Below are 19,146 nucleotides of genomic sequence, written 5' to 3' on the forward strand. Positions count from 1 at the left end.
TATATATTTAATGTAAGCACCCTTCTGATTTTGATGCAGGAACTCAGTCTTTAGGTGTCAGAATAGCTGCAAGCTTGTATTAGTTTAAAAGCACCTATGCCTGACGTCAGCTCCATATTTGTAATATTTTGTGAGTAATCATCTCCCTTACTCTACCTCCTGATCAAGCACATGGAGCAAGTGGTATTACCTGCTAAGTTTTCTGCTTTTTAAAACAAGTAGGTGGACTTCTCATTATTATAAAAATAGTACATACTCATTGTAAAACATGAAGAATATAAAAACATATTAAGAATGGAAAGCATACTTATAGATTCTCCAAGCCTCTCTACTTTGATACATGCCCTTCATATTTAGTCACAAATAATCATTGTACTATCGTCATACAGTTTCTCATTAAGTTTTCACTTACCACTGAAACAGTGACTGTCATGCAGTAGAGTTCAATATTTGTTGAATAACTATTTTGTGATAAATTTACAAATTATTCAACATTTTTTGAAAAACAAATAAATGAATAACATTGCATCGTGTATATGTACTATCATTTATTTTTAAAGTACTAGATGAAAAGTCATAAACAATACTAAAAGTTTTGATACATTTTGTCATGTTGCTTTTGGGAGAAGTTATGGTATTCTGATTTTGAACATGATATTAAATGGCTAAGGTTTCCCAGGAAAAATGTATAGGTTTTGTAACAAAATAAAACAAAGGTGAGAGATGAGAGAAAGTGAGTGGCATGGAATTTATAGACACAAAATCAAAGCTATACACTTAAATTTGATCCTACTTACCTCAAAATTTGGGGAAACAGAAGCTTCAAGAGAGTAGAAAAGTAAGTAAATTGCAGAAGAGAAAGAATGATGTACAGAAATGAAAGTGGAGTATATCTCTCCACATATCTACAGACATCTAGCTAAAACTTCTCTAAGTAGTAAGCAGCAAACTTGAGAAAAGAAAGCCTGGCAGTGAGCTGATCTCTCACAAGAATATTTCTTATTACGGTGTGATTTCAAACAAAGAGATGATGAGGTTAAACCTATGGGCAATTGTGCTTATTGTTCTGTGGTGGCAGAGTGACCATTATGGAAACTTTAAGGCACAAAATGTTCCTGAGAATATTTGTTTAAAGGGAAACAATGAATAATAATCAAAAAGAATGCAGGAGGCATCTTTATGTGGTGCACTAGCAAAATAGCAACCTGAAATATGCCTTGGGTATATTCAACACTGTTTTATTCATAAAGCTATTTCACAAGTTCAGGAGCCGTGACCTCAAGCAAAATTTAGCTCATACATGCAATGAAAATCATGAAGGCCTGAGCTTGAGTCAAGTTAATTGAGATACAGGACACATCAAGTACTTATGAGTGTGAGGCATTAAGGGGCATGGGAAATCCTGAGCAATGCTGAAACCAAGTTATATTGTTGAAATGGTCCATATCTGTTGGAGGGTATGTTGAGGAAAAAATGGAATATGCTATGTTTTGAATGTTACTGTTATGACAGTTTCCATATAATAATGATAGTGATAATATTTATATCTGAAAATGAAAAAAATTATTCATTAATGGCTCATTTATTGTTCTTGGGTTTTTTTATCCCATGCTTTAATTATTTTGAAGAATACAAATATAGTGAATACAATGACTTAAGAGAAGTGTCTGGATAGCTTATATTCAAAAGCCAAAAATTAGTAACTGCGCATGTCTGAATATGTCTAAATGAATTAAAAATCTTGATCATAATGCATGCATGAATTTTATTTAGAAAACACAGTAATTTGTATAAAAGTAAACTTAACAAAAAACTCAAATGACAAAATTCCCCTTACGTAAGTTTTTGGTAGCCAATTAAATTTATTACGGAACCAAGAAGCAAAAATTAAAGTCCCACCTAAATAACAGCTGTCTTTGTAGAAAAGAAAAAGAGGTAATAGATGTTGCCGAAAAACCTTACACTAGCAATGTTTCATTCAGGCACAAGTCTCTGCTTTCACACTTCAACAAAAAGAATCTGGTCCATGGTTTAAAAGAAATTGAATTCTAAGCATTTTCAAGTTTTGATTGAAAGTTAGGAAAAAATTTCTTACTCCCTCTTCATAGGGAGAACTAAAACATTGCCAAGACACAAACAAAATATGTGTAGGTTGAACAGCTTGATAAAACTATCACATACAATGACCAGCCCCATCTCCCTATCAGTATCCACCCACTGCAGGTAATTCAATGAAGGAGTGAGCTTCTCAATAATCCACATCTGTGTGCAGCTAATCCAGGGGTTGGTAACACCCTATGTAAGCTTATGGCTTTGCTTGTTCAACAACAGTAAACTAAAAAAAAGTGATGCACCTGGTTTCTATGGCTGTGTTGATGACCAGATTAAACCAACCACCCAGCTAAACTGATCAATAGTGCAGAAAGTGCCCATTAATACAGCTGGAAACAACATTCCAAACGAAAAACCGTCACTTCAGAGGCTGCCTGTGACTGCTGAGTCAGTCTACAGTAACATAACTTTCAGAGACTGGATTCTTAGGAGCATGGAAATGTAACGTGGGGAAATAATAAAGTTTTCATGTATATAGAAGTTCCAGAGACTAATCATCTTTCTCAGATTTTACATTCTTATTTATAAAATGTAATTGGGTTCTGTGCATGCTTTGGACAGCATAGCAGGCAGAAACTCAGCCAAAGGTAATGTGGGGAGGTGAGAAGAATCCAGATTTAGAGTCAGATATTCTGAGCTCCAAATGAACCTCAACAAGTTTTTTGACTTCTCATTTGTTTTCATCAATAAAATACATACTATAATGCCTTATATAGCCAGTTATCTTGAGAATTATATAAGGTAATATATGTTTATTAGAATCCAGCACAGAGTCTGGAATATAATAAGTAGTCAATAAATATTTATTAAATAAATGATTCTGGGAATGAATAAATAAATTAATGAATGAATTATAAAGGCTACATATGAGTTTCTTCCTTCCTTTCCTTGTCATGGCAATTAAATTCAGCTACAAAACAAACATAACTAAAGAGAAAGTCAAATGAGAGCCATAATAGGAGCTGTTACTGGTGGAACAGTTGCTAGGAGCCACGCGTTTACACATATTATTTAATAATACTGATAATAGATCATCATACCTATAGTGAACCAAGCACTATGCTGAGCGCTTTATGCATGTTAACTAATTTATGATTTTTATAGAAACTTATAAAGCAGATACTATATTTACCTACATGTCTTGCATGCAGTTGTAATCACCATTCACAAATAAAAAACTGTAACTTTCATAGATTAAGTGACTATGGCCAAAAAAGATCCACGAGTTTCTGATTTCATAGTTTGTGGGTTGCACAAACTGCTTCTCCAAGGGGAGATTTTTTCCAAAAATGATGAGGACAATTGTTAAGGGAGCAAAATTAATTTGTTAATTAAAATAGAAAAAGTGTAAATCGAGGGCTGAGGAAAAAAAAAAAAGGATGTTTAGCAGATGACAAGTCTTGACAAAAGAATTAAGAGCTGATACTTAACACTGAGACCCTGCACTCCAGCCTGTTGGGAAAAGGAAGCTGAATTGTGCCTCGTTTGAGTGCTCCACTAGGTTACAACGTAAAAGCATCAACCCTGTGTATTGAGAAAAAAACTTGGGATGATACTCAAGGCTGAACTGAACTGCATTCATCAATAATAGTTTCCAAAAACATTTACATTAGCATTCTAATTACTATGCATATGTTCTAGAGAAACAGGAAATTATTTGTTTGCAAATGACTTTAAATCTAGGACTAATTAAGATGTAAAAACTGAGGTCTGTCTTATTTTCAATGTGTGTCAAAATATTGAGTTAACCAATCAATGCTCCATGTTCTGGAATTTTATTATAAGTATGACGCATCTAGCTAAAAAAAATTCTTTATGAGAAAAGATGTTATGAAATTATGAAATTCACATATAGATACCCAACATCAGCTGTATCCTGCTTTAGGTTATCACTTCACTGGTATTGAAAAATCTATTAAATTCATGACTTACATTATTTGTTTAGTTTTATACTTATATCCCAAATAATTTTACTAACCTTATTTATTGTGAAGCTTTGCTTATTAGAGTCATATTATTCACTTCTGTCAAAACTGTGTAGTTTCCTTGTGCTGATTCCTGTCTGTCAAAAAGGGAGCATCCTTTTTTGGAGAGATGCTGAGTGTCCCTGATGTATCCAGTTCATCTCAAATTAGACTTCCACATCTCAGGAGATATGAACTCTACGGATGTTTTGAAGCTTTGTCTGCTGGTATCCCCATATCCAGCTTCTTGGAAAGTTTTTCATGACCACCTAGAGCCTACAAATTAAAAGTCTAGAAATTAATTCAAATTTTTCCTCTCTTTCTCCTCTTCACCAGTTGCTACCCCACCACTCCACCCGTCTCTGGCAATCTGCAGTTCTCATTTGTATGGAGATTGAAATCAACATTCTCAAATATGGCCACTGGCATTCACATAGCTCAGGCGAGGACTGTATATGGATGTGCATTTTCCATATGTCTTTTTAAACTAAATCTGGCCTTAGGTTGCTTCCATACTTGAAATTCCTAGTATTGTACTGCAGCTAACTTAGTATGTAAACAAATTACAGCCTAAGAGCATATTCCTGCAACAAGTAGCTGAGATTCAGCCGATCGTATCAGCCAAGCTTCAGCCAATCACAGGATGCCAAATGATCAGCATGTATCCAAACAAAGCAAATGTCTCTTCATACCATGGAAAATAAGACAAATGTCAGGCTGCAACCAATCAAGTGCTTTCTATAGATGACTTTGTCTGTCTATAAAAACTGTCTACCCATGTTGCTGGGTGAAGCTCTCTGAACCACTCCTGGTTCTAAGGGCTGCCCAGTTCATGAATCATCTTTGCTCAAATAATCTCTGCTATATTTAATTTGTCTAAAGTATTTTATTTAACGGTCTTCATATTTAAATGGTGTAAATCAAGCTAACAGACAGTTAAAACATTTCTAGAATCTTAAGTGGGTAAACAGACCATTATTTTAAAAAATTATATTAAAAATCTATGAAGCTATGATTTTATGTGACTAATATTTGGCAAAATATTAGTCAAATAAAAGATAATAGATCCAGATAATATTACAAAAAATTAATTTTGTTATCTAAATCATATAGTGCACATCATTTATGTGGTGATTTCCATTATCTCTTAAAGCAGTATCAAGATCAATGTAATCAATATTTCTTAAGTTATCCATATTTCAGAGTTTAGAATGCTGGAAGATTATTTAAAAAAAAAAAAAAAACTAAACTAAAAGTTTGTTCAAAGTCTCTTTTTAAGCAAGACTGTTACTTCATCTATATGGCCAGAGAGGTGAGAGTGGCTAACAAGGGTAAGCTCAAAAGCCTGGCAAGGTAAAACTTGATGGTTCCTGGTATGATCTCCTGCGATGTACGAAGCAGGCTGTTTGTTCATAGGCTTCAACTCCAAGCACTGTAGATACTAGATTAAATTGTATTGTTGCTCAATATTCATCAAATGTTCTTTATTTGAATATAATTTATTATAGACTTAATTAAGTATTCCAGAAACTCACTCAGTGTGGTGACATTATTTGTGTGGAACCACACAGACAACCATGCCCTTATAAAGGAATATGTGTCCTCATTTTTCATTCAGTGTTGTTTTGGATCCTCATATTTTCCTTAAGCTTTAGCACTAATGTCAGACCGCGGACTCCAGGCCAACCAGGCACCAGAATAGCATGGCTGTTCCTTACTTGAATGCTTTCAGTAATTTTTCTTTTGTAACATGGACTCTAATTATTTGCCAGTTACCTGACATGAGTTGTAAGAAGTTTGAGGGCATTGGCTAAAATTCTGACTTGTATATCAACAAAGCCACAGGGCCTAACAAAAGACCTAGTGATTTGTAGACTCAAAATAAGTGTTGACTAATTACTGCATAATAAAAAAGCTCTTTGACAGAATAAATTTCAAATATTCTTTTTATTTCATTTATTAAAGCTTTGGAAAAATACACTTAACATAAAATTACTACCTTAACTATTTTAAGTCCAATGTCATTAAGTGTAAGTACATTCACATTGTTCAGCAATGTGAATTCAACAATGTGAATGTACTTAATGCCACTGGGCTTAAAATAGTTAAGGTAGTAATTTTACATCATCAAAAAGCCTTTAAATAATTACAAAAGCCTTTACATCATCCACTTCCAGAACTCTTGAAAAGAGTTGCAAAAATGGAAACTCTAAACAATGTGCTCACTCGACAATGACTCCTCAGTTCCCCACTTCCCAGCCCCCAGCAATCTCCATTTTACTTTCTGTCTCTATGATTTTGACTACCTTAAGTGCCTCTTATAACTAGAATCATGCAGCATTTATATTTTTGTGATAGGCTTATTTCATTCATCATAATGTTCTCAAGGTCCATTCATGTTATGGGCTATGTAAGAATTTGCTTTCTTTTTAAGGCTTGGTAGAACTCATTGGTGATACCATCAGGTTCAGGGCTTTTCTTTTTTGGAAGATTAGTGATTACTAATTATGAATTCACTCTCTTTGCTAGTTACAGGTATATTCATGCTTTCTGTTTCTTCATAGTTTATAGCCTTAGTAGGTTTTATGTTCCTAGAAATGTAGTTATTTCCTCTACGTTATCAAATTTGTTGGCATAAAATTGCTCATAGAACTCTTGTAGAATTGGTATCAATGTTCCCAACTTCACTTCTGATTTCAGAAAGCTGAATCTTATCTGTTTTTCACATTTTTTCCATCCACCTAAAGCTTTGCCAATTTTGCTAATCTTTTTAAAGAACCAACTCTTGGCTTTCGTAAATTTTCTCTATTGTTTTCTATTCTATATTTCATTACCTCTTCTCTAATCATTATTATTTCCTTCCTCTTGCTAGATTTGGTTTTTATTTGTTCTTTTTATTTCTAATTATTTAAGTTGTAAGGCTAGGTTGTTGACTTGAGTTCTTTCTTCTTGTTGTTTTTAAATATGTGTTTATATCTTTAAAATTTCCTCTTAGCATTGCTTTTTAAAATCCCCAAAGTTTTGGTATGTTGTGTTTTCATTAATTTTTTATTATTTTATAATTTCCCTTTTAATTTAATTCGATGTTTCAGAGCATATTATTTAATTTCCACAAATTTGAGAATTTTCCAGTTTTACTAGTGTTGTTGAATTATATCTGCATCCTGTTTTAGTTGGAGATGATACTTTGTATGATGTCTGTCTTTTTGAGATTTAATGTGTGGCCTAACATATGGTTTACCTTGGAGAATGTCCCATCTGCACTTGAGAAGGTTGTGTTTTCTGTTGTTTGTTGATATTGTGTTTGGTAGATGTTGGTTAGATCTTGTTGGATTATTGTGTTAATAATGTCCTTTACTCCCTTATGTACCTTCTTTATGGTTATTCTATTATGGAGGGTGGGGTCTTAAAGTTTCCAACTATTAAGGTAAAGCTATTTCTCCCTTCAATGCCATCAATTGTTGATTCATGTATTTTGATGGTCTGTCATTGGGTGTGTAAATGTTTACAATTGTTATATATTGTGTAAAATATTTGATTAATATATAATAATCCTCTTTGTCTCTTGTAACATTTTTTGACTTAAAGTCTTTTTTGTCTAGTTTTAGTACAGAGGCACTCCTGCTCCTTTTTTTTGGCTATTATTTGTATGGAATATCCATTTTCATTCCTTTATTAATACCTATTTGTGTCTTTTGATCTACATTGAGTCTTGTGTAAAAGTCGTAGTTAGATCATATTGTATTTATCCATTCTGCCATATTTATCTTTAAATTGGATAATTTAACTGATTTACATTTACTTATGTATCTATTTGTTTATTTGGAGACATGGTTTCACTCTGTCACTTAAGCTGGAGTGTGGTGGCACAATCTTGAGTCACTGCAGCTTTGACCTCCTGAGTGCATGTGACTCTCCCACCTCAACCTCCTGAGTAGTTGGGACCACAGGTGTGCAACACAACATCTGGCTAATTTAATCTTTTGTAGATATGAAGTCTCACTATGTTGTCCAGGCTAGTCTCAAATTACTGGGCTCAAGCAAGCCTCCCACCTTGATCTCCCAAAGTGCTGGAATTACAGGCATGTGCCACGACATCTGACTGATTTACATTTAAAGCAATTACTAATAAGGAGGGACTTACTGTTGTAATTTTAATATTTGTTCTCTGTATGCCCTATTGCCCTATAGTTTGTCTCTCATTTCCTACATTACTGTCTTATTTTATGTTTAGTTGATTTTTTTGTAGTAAAACATTTAAATTATTTTCTCATTTCCTTTGTGTATATTTTTCAACTATTTGCTTTGTGGTTACCATTTGGTATTACAACATGAACTAATAATATTTAAATGCCTTAGTCTCTTACATCATGTTGAAAACAAAAAGTGGAGTTACATATCATTATTACAATAATATTAGTTTTATAATTGCCCTGGTATTTACCTTTACTAAGATCTTTATTTCTTCATAAAGCTTCCAGTTGCTATCTAGTTTCCTTTCATGTCAACCTGCTAGTCTCCTTAGCATTGTTTTCAGGGAATGCATATGCTAATAAACAATTTCAACTTGTATTTACCTTGGAATGTTTTCATTTCTCCCTCATCATTAAAGTACAGTTTTGCTGGATGTTGTGATTTTGAATGACAGGTCTCTTTTCTTTTCTTTTCTCTTTCTTTCATTCACCTTTCTTTTTTTTCTTTTGAATTTTGTGTATATCAGCCCACTGCCTTCCTGCCTCCAAGTTTCTGATGAGAAATATGCTGCAAATAGTATTGAGGATCACTTGTACATGATTTGCTTTTTTCCTCACTGCTTTCAAAATTCTTTGACTTTATATTGATGATTATAATGTGTCTCCATAATGGACGTCTTTGAGTTCATAATCCTTGGAGTTCATTGAGATTTTTGAATGCTTATGTTCATATCTTTCATCAAATGTGGGACATTTTTGTCCATTATTTCTTTAAATATTTTCTTTGTTTCTTTCTCTTCTTAATCTGGACTCCCACAATGAGTATGTTAGTCCTCTTGTTAAAATCTCACAGTTTCCATAGGTGCTGGTTATTTTTCTTCAGTCTTTTTATTTTCTATTTCTCAGATTCAGTAATTCCCATTGTCTTATTTTCAAGTTTGCTGATTCTTTCTTCTGCTTGTGCAAATCTGTCATCGGGTCCCTCTAGTGAATTTTTGGTTTCAGCTATTGTACTTTTCAACTCCAGAATTTCCTTTTGCTTTCTGTCTCTTTATTGATCTTTCCATTTTTTTCACACATTGTTTTCTGGACTTTTCCAAGTCTTCCCTTGGTTCTTTGAGTATCTTAAGACATCTGTTTTAAAGTCTTTTTGTAGTAGATCTTCCCTTCCATCAGGTGTTTTACAGGAACAGTTTCTGTGGGTTTATTTTTTGCCTTTGAATAAATCATACCTTTTGTTGCATTGTATGTCTTTTGACTTTTTTGTTGAAAACCATATATTTTGATTTTAAAATGTGATAACTCTGGAAACTTAATTCTCCTCCCTCCCCCAGAATTTGCTGGTTTTCTGTTTTATTTATTGTTTTTGTTTTGATTATTGTGTTACATTGTATGTGTGCCAAAGATCAACCTAAAGTACAAACTTATGGTCTTCTCAGGTCATCGCAGAGCCTGAATCTTTTTCTGGGCTTGCATGGTAACTTCCTAATTTCCTTTGTATATATAACTGCTTTTGAATGCCCCTAGTCATCAATGTCCAACCCCTGAGAGGAAAAAAAAAAAGGAAAATTAAAGGGGGTAAATTTGGAGGCCCTTTATATTTCCTGAAAGTCATTTAGCCAGGGAGGGAAGTTCTTGCAATACTGGGAAAAGGTACAACAACAATGGCTCTCCACCTTTTTCCAGTAGTCAATAATCAGAACACAGATCCTTGATATTCGAAAAACAGGGTTGTTTTTGCCCATTCTGGCTTCCACAAGCTCTGTGCAAGATACTCCAGGAACACATTCACAGCTGCCTGCCACAAGGCTATAGGATAAATAATGGGTAGCCTCTGCTTAACTAAGAGATAAAATTGACTCATATTAACCATAATTTACTGTCCAAGCCTTTCCCAAGAATTTGCAAGCCTTTGATAGACTTAGGAGTTCCAAAAATCACAACAAACAGAGTCTGCCTGTGAAATTGTTGTCCACATGGAGAGTCAGATTTCTGATGTCTTCCTCTCTGCCACTATCCCAGGATGCCTTTAAAAATGTTTTCGGATTATCAAATGTAACCAATTCACCCTCTTTTTGCACTTCTGTGGAATGAAATCATTACATGAAGAACAGTTTCCAAATCTCTATCCTCAGGGATTTTATGTTCAAATTATGCAGATGAGAGTTAGACACATAGATCTTCAGCCAACAAAACAGTATAGACAAAGTTCTGGGCCACTTGGTATGGAGACTCTGTGCAATGCATGTTCAGAGAAGGCTGAATTGTCTGGCCTGGAATCTTCATGAAAGTGAGAGTGAACTGGGTTTTGAAAGATGATTGAATGTTTCAACGGTTGAAAAACAGAAAAGCCAGTTCCCACCTAACATAGACATAATACATGAGCATCATATTTTCATGTGGCAGTAAACTCATTGAAGACTCAGAATAAGAGTACTAGTAGAGAAATCATACAAAGTAAGTTTGTATGGGTAAGAGGAAATCAAATAGTTTGTTTAAAAAAAAAACCTTAAAACTATGAGAAGAATTTGGAATAAAAATTAGGAATTCAGCTGTCATTGAAGATTTTGAAGACCAAAAAATTATTTTTATTTATACCAGCAGATACTCCTGATTGGTAGAATTGTTGTTAAAGTCACCTATTAAGCAGAAAGTTGTGTGTGTGTGGGGGGGTGTTTGCTTGTATGTGTGTGATTATTAGCATTCAATAATGATTAATGAAGTTGAAGGAATCAGTTTAAGATAAGCTTTTTGCCTCATAAAACTTTGACTTCTCAAACCTAATATTTTATCCTGAAAAAAAAATGTTTCTTTTCTATGTAACAGTCGTGCACATCAAGCACAACTAACACAGAATGTGGAGTTGGAAGCATTTCAAGGGCACTTGATATAATAGCTTCTTTTGCCCTAGTATGGTGACATTTTGGAAACATATGAAAATGTCAGAGTGTGACAAATCCAAACTTAAAACAAAATAGATGAAGAGTTTGAAGCTTTGCAGGCTGTAAATTATTGAAGCCGATTTTCAATGGACTCAATTCAGTGTCCTAGTGTTTTGTGTCACTTAACATAAGATAAAGTTATGCTTTATTCAAATTTCCTATAAGTGATGAGATTTTTCAAGTTCGTGGGAAAAAAGGGAATGAGATTTTAGCTTTCATCGTGTGTGTGTGTATGGGTGGTTGGGTGGGTGTGTGTGTCAAGAAATCTATAAACCTACGAGAACAGGTAGCCTTCTGCATAGCCAAGAGCTAACAGTGGTTCATATGTCCCGAGGGCTCACTACCTGTCTCATCTTGTTCTACAGCCTTCTTGTGGATCTCATTTAATATTCACCACTATCAAAAGTGGTAGTTTTTTTGTATGCTTGCTTGCCTTATGCTCGTTCATGCTGAACACATGGGGAGACTGTAGCACAGGCAGGTTAAATAATTTGACCATGTTGATCAACTGTAAGCAGTTGTATCAGAAATCAAACAGTGTGACCTCAAAACACATGTACTTAGCCATGAAGCCATACAGCCTCATGCGTTTTGCCTGTGTACTTCAGTAGTACTTGAGAATCAATAAAGCACTAACATAAAATAGGAAGAACAAAATCTGCAGTCTCAAAACATGTCAGAAATTATAATATTTGCTATACTTTGTAGAGTCTGTTGTTTATTTATAATATAAATTAGTATTCATTTTTAATAACATAGTGAATATATGAACATATTATTTTTACTAAAAATTAAAACATTATAGATAAGACAAATTTTTCCTTTTGCCACACCCCCAAACCCACTACCCTCCCTCTCTTCTCTACTTACCTGAGACATTATTGCTATTAGTTTAGTGTCAATTCTCTATACCCTTTACAATGCATTGACATCCGTATTATACACATGCACAGGTATATGTACATAGAAAATATATGGTATTTAATTCCATAAAGTGTATTATTCAGTATATATCAATTTTCACGTGCTTCTTTTCAACAATACATCTCTGTCTGTTTCAATTTTAAAAAATACTACATAATTCTAAAGTACGAATATGGTTATTTTATTCAGTGATTATCTTCTTAATAAACTTTTACTTTTGGTTTTTTGTTTTTGTTTCAATACCAGTCCTCTTTCAGACCTCATTGTATATATGTATGAGTACTTATCTAATAAAGACGCCTTAGAGAATTATTGAGTCCTATGGTATTTGTGACTTCATGGCAATTCCAAATTGCCATTCAATTTCCCTGTGCCCCTCTACCAATTTATTTCCCCACAGCAATTTATTTCCCAACTTCTATTTCACAAGGAATTGATATAGGAGTATCAGTTTCCCAACAAACCCACCAAAATTTCATATTTTCAAAAATTTAGTGTTTGCATTCTGGTATATGAAAATGGTATTGTTTAATCTGATTTATCTGATTGCTAGTAACTTAAAAAATCTTATTCCATGTAATGTTACAGTTTATATTTCTTTATAATTGTCTATTTATATTCAAATTGCCTGCTTTTCTAGGCATTTGATTGCCTTTTCCTCTTTTGTAGTTTTTAAGACACTAAACACTAACCTTTTGCCTGCTATAAAACATATATGTATGTTTGTATATATAGCTAAAGAGTGAGAAGTTAAATTATGTGATTTTATTTTGCATTTTTTAACCTGATTTCACATTTTGGAGTATAAAATAACAAGTAGCTTTTCAAGAAAACTATTATGAGCCACAAACAAATCAGCTTTGAATAAAATCACTTAATAGGGTCTCACTTTTAAAAATGTCAATTAAAGAAATTATGCAATGTTTATTTCTGGAAACTTGTTCAGCATCCTTGATTTGTAGTCAGACGGTATGTGAGAGCAATATAGATCAACATGAGGGACCGTTAGATCCTGAGAATTTGCTGTCTCAAAAGTGCAAAATGGAAATATTATTACATTCTAGTAAAGGCTGTGTTGTTGCTGGTTTCACTGGGTTTGGGGGAACTGGAGTGTGACCTGCGGGCACCAGATGCCTGGGCAGCCTAGGGCTGCAATCACAGGCAGACCAGAAGTTGGAGGGGCACAATGGTAGAAAGAGCTCACTGACAGAAAGAAGCAAATGTGGGCCGGGCGCGGTGGCTCACGCCTGTAATCCCAGCACTTTGGGAGGCCAAGGCGGGCGGATCATGAGGTCAGGAGATTGAGACCATCCTGGCTAACACGGTGAAACCCCGTCTCTACTAAAAATACAAAAAATTAGCCAGGCGTGGTGGCAGGCACCTGTAGTCCCAGCTACTCGGGAGGCCGTAGAATGGCTGAGGCAGGAGAATGGTGTGAACCCGGGAGGCGGAGCTTGCAGTGAGCCCAGATGGAGCCACTGCACTCCAGCCTGGGCCACAGAGCGAGACTCCTTAGCAAAAAAAAAAAAAAAAAAAAAAAAAGCAAATGTGGCTGGAGCCATGCAGAGGGGAACACAAACAACAGATAGGCAGACCAACAAAAATGATCTGTGGTTTAGCAAAAGGTAGGCTGCCCCTTTTTCCCTACACTTACTCCGGACAAATTATTTTTGATGGGTCCACAACCCTGCTAAAGGAGACACAGCCTTCACTGCAGTTAATTATAAAGTAAGAGCGTCAGCATATGTGATGCAAAGGGAAAGGTCTAGGAGCTTCATTCCTCCACTTACCTTGACCTGTAGAGAAATTACTAAAACAATTGATTGCCTCCTCCATTCTGTCCTCATGCCTATTCCCATACGCTCTACTACCACAAAGATGTGTATGTGTGGGAGTCTCAGGTTATTTTCCTTAAACTGTCTCCCTACTCACTGAAATCCCTCCGTGTTTAGTGTAATAAGTGTAGCACCTATGAATAAAGATTGTGGTTATCCAGCTTAGTAAAGTGGGCTCAGATCTCAATATACAGACACTGTCTGAGTAAAAAACTCCTTGAAGAAGTGCATAGTTTCCTTATGAGAATATTAAGAATGATGTTATTGGCATAAACACAAATGTGACTTTGATGAAGAACCCGGGAAGAACATTAATAAGAAGATAAAGGCCTAGCAAACACAGATTTAATAACTTCTGATGTCATATATGTGCCTACTTTTTCATTCAAGATTGAGTCTTCCCCTATCTGGTCTTAATCTGGCTACAACTATGTGACATAAGGACAAAGAAAATAATTAGAAAAAGACGGTTATGAAAAGTTAGAAGAGTTAGAGCCCAGGTGTCTAAATGTTGATTTGCATTAGTATGAACCTAACCTCTAATCTCTAATCTTCCCATTGCCTTTTTCAGGCTACATCTTATTTTTGCAGATCACATTCTTTGCATATTTCTGCCACCAATGTCTACCTCTCTAATGTTACATTCTATATTTTTAAGGGGGAAAATAACCATACCCACTCCAACCCCACTGTCACCCATCTTAAATCAGAGAAAGGGACTGAGAAAAGCACATAATTATTGAAAAGAAATGTCCTTAACAGTCATTTATCAAAAGGAAAGATAGTAGAATCCAGAGCCTTCTTTCCCAAGCCTCAGTGTAAGCTCTTTAAACAGATGGTTCTATTCCACTCTGGTATTTTGAAGGGCATACAAAACACATTTACAAGAGTTGACTTCTAAAGCATATTCACTGAAGTCACCCCTGTTTATCCTCCTTGTGAATCTTCCGTGGTCCTGTGACCCCTCCTCAACTCAGATCCTATTAACTTCAGACCATTAAATGGTTTTTAAGCAGATAGCATCATTACCTTTGCAAATTACTCAGGTGGTTTTGCTACAGTGTGGAGAGGGAACCAGAGTGGGATAGACAGAAGAAGAAAGTCCAGGAAGAGAGTTCTCACAATGTCCCAAGCAGGAGATCAAAGCCTGTGATTCCACAGGTAAACAGGGATGAAGCAGACGGATATATGAAATATTCAGAAAGCCAATTCCTAAAAGATCAGGAAAGAAGAAAGAAATGTGATAATGAAGAAAAAAACCTTAATTCCCTGAATTCTGTAAGTTGTGTCGGTATAAGTTTGTTAAATGAGAACTCAGCCCACATTACTGATATTGTCTAAGTAAATGGAGTAATAGCATCCATAGAATCAACATCCCATTTTTATGGGTGTATTATGTTTGAATTTAACAGAGACTATAAATAATTACTACCAGGCATAGTAATTCAGAATGTTTCATTCTGCGCCACGTGGAGAACTTTAACATCACTTCAAAATAATTGTCACATATAAAGAAGCTTCATAATATTAGATCTCGTGCTTCCTAAAATATTTTAGAGACTCTAAAAATGATTCCTCCTGTAAGTTGCCACATATCTGAATAATTTAGAGTTTTTCATTCAAAAAATATTTTAACACAGTTTAGAAATATGTGCATGATGTGATCCCCTTCCCACTGGGGGAACCAGGCAAGATGGCCCTCACTAGCCAGAATGGAACAGGGCTGGGGCAAAAAGATGGGTGTGTATTATCAGAAATTGGCCACATGGAATGGAAAAGATAACATATTGAGCTCACAGGAGGATAAGGGCTGAGCATCAAGTGTAAGCAGCATATCCAAATGTGCCGTTAGAGCCAGAAAGCTGGTTCCATCGTACATTGTGACAATGGACGGGAAAAGGCAGCAAAGAGTTTACAAGGCACCTTCTCATACAGCCTTTCATTTGGTTCCTCAAACTCATCCTAGATAGAGAAGCTAAACAGAAATAACGTCCTCCATTTCATGAGGGTCTGGGATTAAGATGAAGAGTAAGATGCCTAAAATAACACCTAATACATGATAGGTATTCGATTATGTGCTTTGACTTCTGTTTTGTACATGCATGCATGCATGCATGCATGCATATATATATATACATCCCCATATGAACTAGTGATGCACTTGAAGTGCAGCATGGGGAATTATGAAATCACATTATGAACCATGAAAACAAACCTATGGTCAACTGCTAATGCCTAACTCCCATGAATGCAGGAGCAGTTACCCATTTCGATATCTTTGATTTCTAAAATAACTCAAGAGTAGTTCTGTGTTTTCATTTGGCTAGGCCCCATGTTGGCTTTAGCAGTTTGTGGAAACAAACGCGAAGTCCCAGGAACATCTTGTATGCTCCCTAAAGAAACCGTTAAAAGTAAAGAGAAGCCCATTGAACACGATCCAGAATACCAGCTCCAGTCCCTCCCCTGAAATTAAAGTGTTGTGTGAACTTGGCCAAGATATATTTTTGTTGCCAGATAGTAGTTTATTAGTGGAAAAAAAAAATAAGCCCTTTGGACTCAATCATCAGAAGGCTTTCTTTCTAGTCAAAAATGATCAATGCTCCATATTTTTACAACAGTGATTCTTATAGGTTAGTAGTAATATTCTGACCTAAAGTATCAGTGTTTGATTTTTCTCCAAAACATTAGAGATGTGTTTAGTCTCTCAAAACCTCCTGAAGGAAATAGACAAAGAATGGATGGCCAGAGTAATTAACTTCACACGCATCAAAATTGGGGGATGGGAAAGGTAGAGGTAACTGTGTGAAGGAGGGTAAAGATATGATGAAATCTGAGATATTTTCAAATTACATAAAATCTTTCAAAATTGCTGTTTTGGAAAAAAGTCGGAATTTATGCAAAACATATAATCATCAGTAGTAGATTTATATAGGTAGATAGATATATTTGTGGAGTCTCTCCAGCCCACTTTGGTGCCATGTCTCTAGGATGCATTTTGTCCAAATCTTATTTGTTTCTTCTTTCATTTCTTATAAAGCAAAATACCATAAAATTATTCTACTGATTTTTCGGGCTTTTACGCAAATTGATTTCTAAACCAGCATGTTTACAAAAACAGACGGGATAAAACAATGACCTATTTCCGGCCGGGGCCGGTGGCTCACGCCTGTAATCCCAGCACTTTGGGAGGCCGAGGCGGGCGGATCACGAGGTCAGGAGATCGAGACCATCCTGGCTAACACGGTGAAACCCCGTCTCTACCAAAACTACAAAAAATTAGCCAGGCGTGGTGGCGGGCGCCTGTGATCCCAGCTACTCAGGAGGCTGAGGCAGGAGAATGGCGTGAACCCGGGAGACGGAGCTTGCAGTGAGCCGAGATGGCGCCACTGCACTCCAGCCTGGGCGACAGAGCGAGACTTCGCCTCAAAAAAAAAAAAAAAAAAAAAAAAAAGACCTATTTCCAGTACATTTCCATGCCCTCAAAATCACCTTCTAAAGGGGGTCAATTCCTTTCAAATCTAAGCTCTACAAGCCATGTGACCTGGGGAAAGTTACTTAAACTCTTTGATACTCAATTAAAAAAAAAATTATCTGAAGTGAGATTAATAGCAGAATAATACGTCATCGATTTTTATGAGATTTAAATTATAATATGGGCACATAAGTGGCCAATACATGCTATACATATATCTATAAGACAATTCTTTTTTTTTTTTTTTTTTTGAGACGGAGTCTTGCTCCGTCACCCAGGCTGGAGTGCAGTGGCACAATCTCGGCTCACTGCAAGCTCCGCCTCCCATAAGACAATTCTTAAGGCAGGAAACAGCACATCAAAGAAGCTAAATACCTGAACAAAGATTATAGTAATCACAAGTGGCGGAGCTGAGACAAGAAAGAGCCCACACTTGCACACTCCCAGTTATCACAGTGTTTCTATATAGTTTATGTGGCTCCTCTGAAACCCCTACCATAAGGAAAAATCCAAAATGTCATAAAGTCATAATGTTTAGAGTTAAGAGTTTTCTTGAAGTTGGGTCCTGTTGTTCTGCCGAGTGGGCTTAACCCTCAGGAAACAGCATGGAAGACTAAAAGTGACTCATCACACAAAGAACAAGAACATTTTCCATGTATAAATGTTCCTCTCTCAGTCTCTTGTGTGTGAGCATCTTTCTTTATTAAAGAAAAGATGAACAGATGAATTCCGGCCCCCATCCCAAGCATTACACATTATTTCCCAGCCAGTACCCCATCATCACACTCCCCATCTGATCTCTGCTTTCCAAATTCACAGCCCAGGTCTCTAAATCTTGCCTTGCATTAGTATGAACACAACCTCTTTCTAATTTCTAATCTTCCCATTGGCTTTTGCAGGCTGCATCTTATTTTTTCAGATCACGTTCTTTGCATATTTCTGCCACCAATATCTGCCTCTCTAAGGCTAGTTTCTATTTCGTTAGGGGGAAATAACCCTACCTGCTCCAACCCCACTGTCACTCATCTTAAATCAGAGAAAGGGACTGAAAAAAGCACACAATTACTGAAAAGAAATGTCCTTAACAGTCATCATTTCTCAATGTGGCTACGACTCTAACATACAAAGGCAGCATTCTTTGATTACTATCATCAAAAGCCCATTACTCCAAAGAGGACAGTACATATTTTGAATGATGCTATTAAGGTGTTTTTGTGGCAGAAGTTGCTAAATAGTGAGTACTTTACACCGTCTAGTCATGCAGGGAGCATTGAAATATTTAAAATATGAGGCAATCAGGCACTGAACCTAATATTTACTCTCTGAATCACTTAGCTATATTTTATCGGCTCCCCTGGTCTTCTGAATTTTCATCAACAGAAGATATATCATGAACCCCTCCAGTGCGGAGGAAGGTCATAACAACACCTTCCAGTGACTTCCATGGTGATGACATTAAAATCTGAAGATACATTCATTTTCTGAGATATGCTGTTCCCTTTTGAAATGAGAACAGACCAAGAGTTCATCCTGAAGAAAATCAGAATAATCGTTTTTCTCTGCTCTTAAATCAAGCAAAACTTGTCACTGCCTTCTGTGTTCACTTTGCATAATGCTATTTTCTTTCCCTCTTGCACATTTCCCCTCCCCACTGTACCCGGCTCTATTCATATACTGATCAGGCAGGGTAAGTCAGTTCAACAT

Source organism: Homo sapiens, chromosome 2 (genome assembly GCF_000001405.40).
Source record: "Homo sapiens chromosome 2, GRCh38.p14 Primary Assembly".
In the NCBI taxonomy this organism is placed as follows: Eukaryota; Metazoa; Chordata; class Mammalia; order Primates; family Hominidae; genus Homo; species Homo sapiens.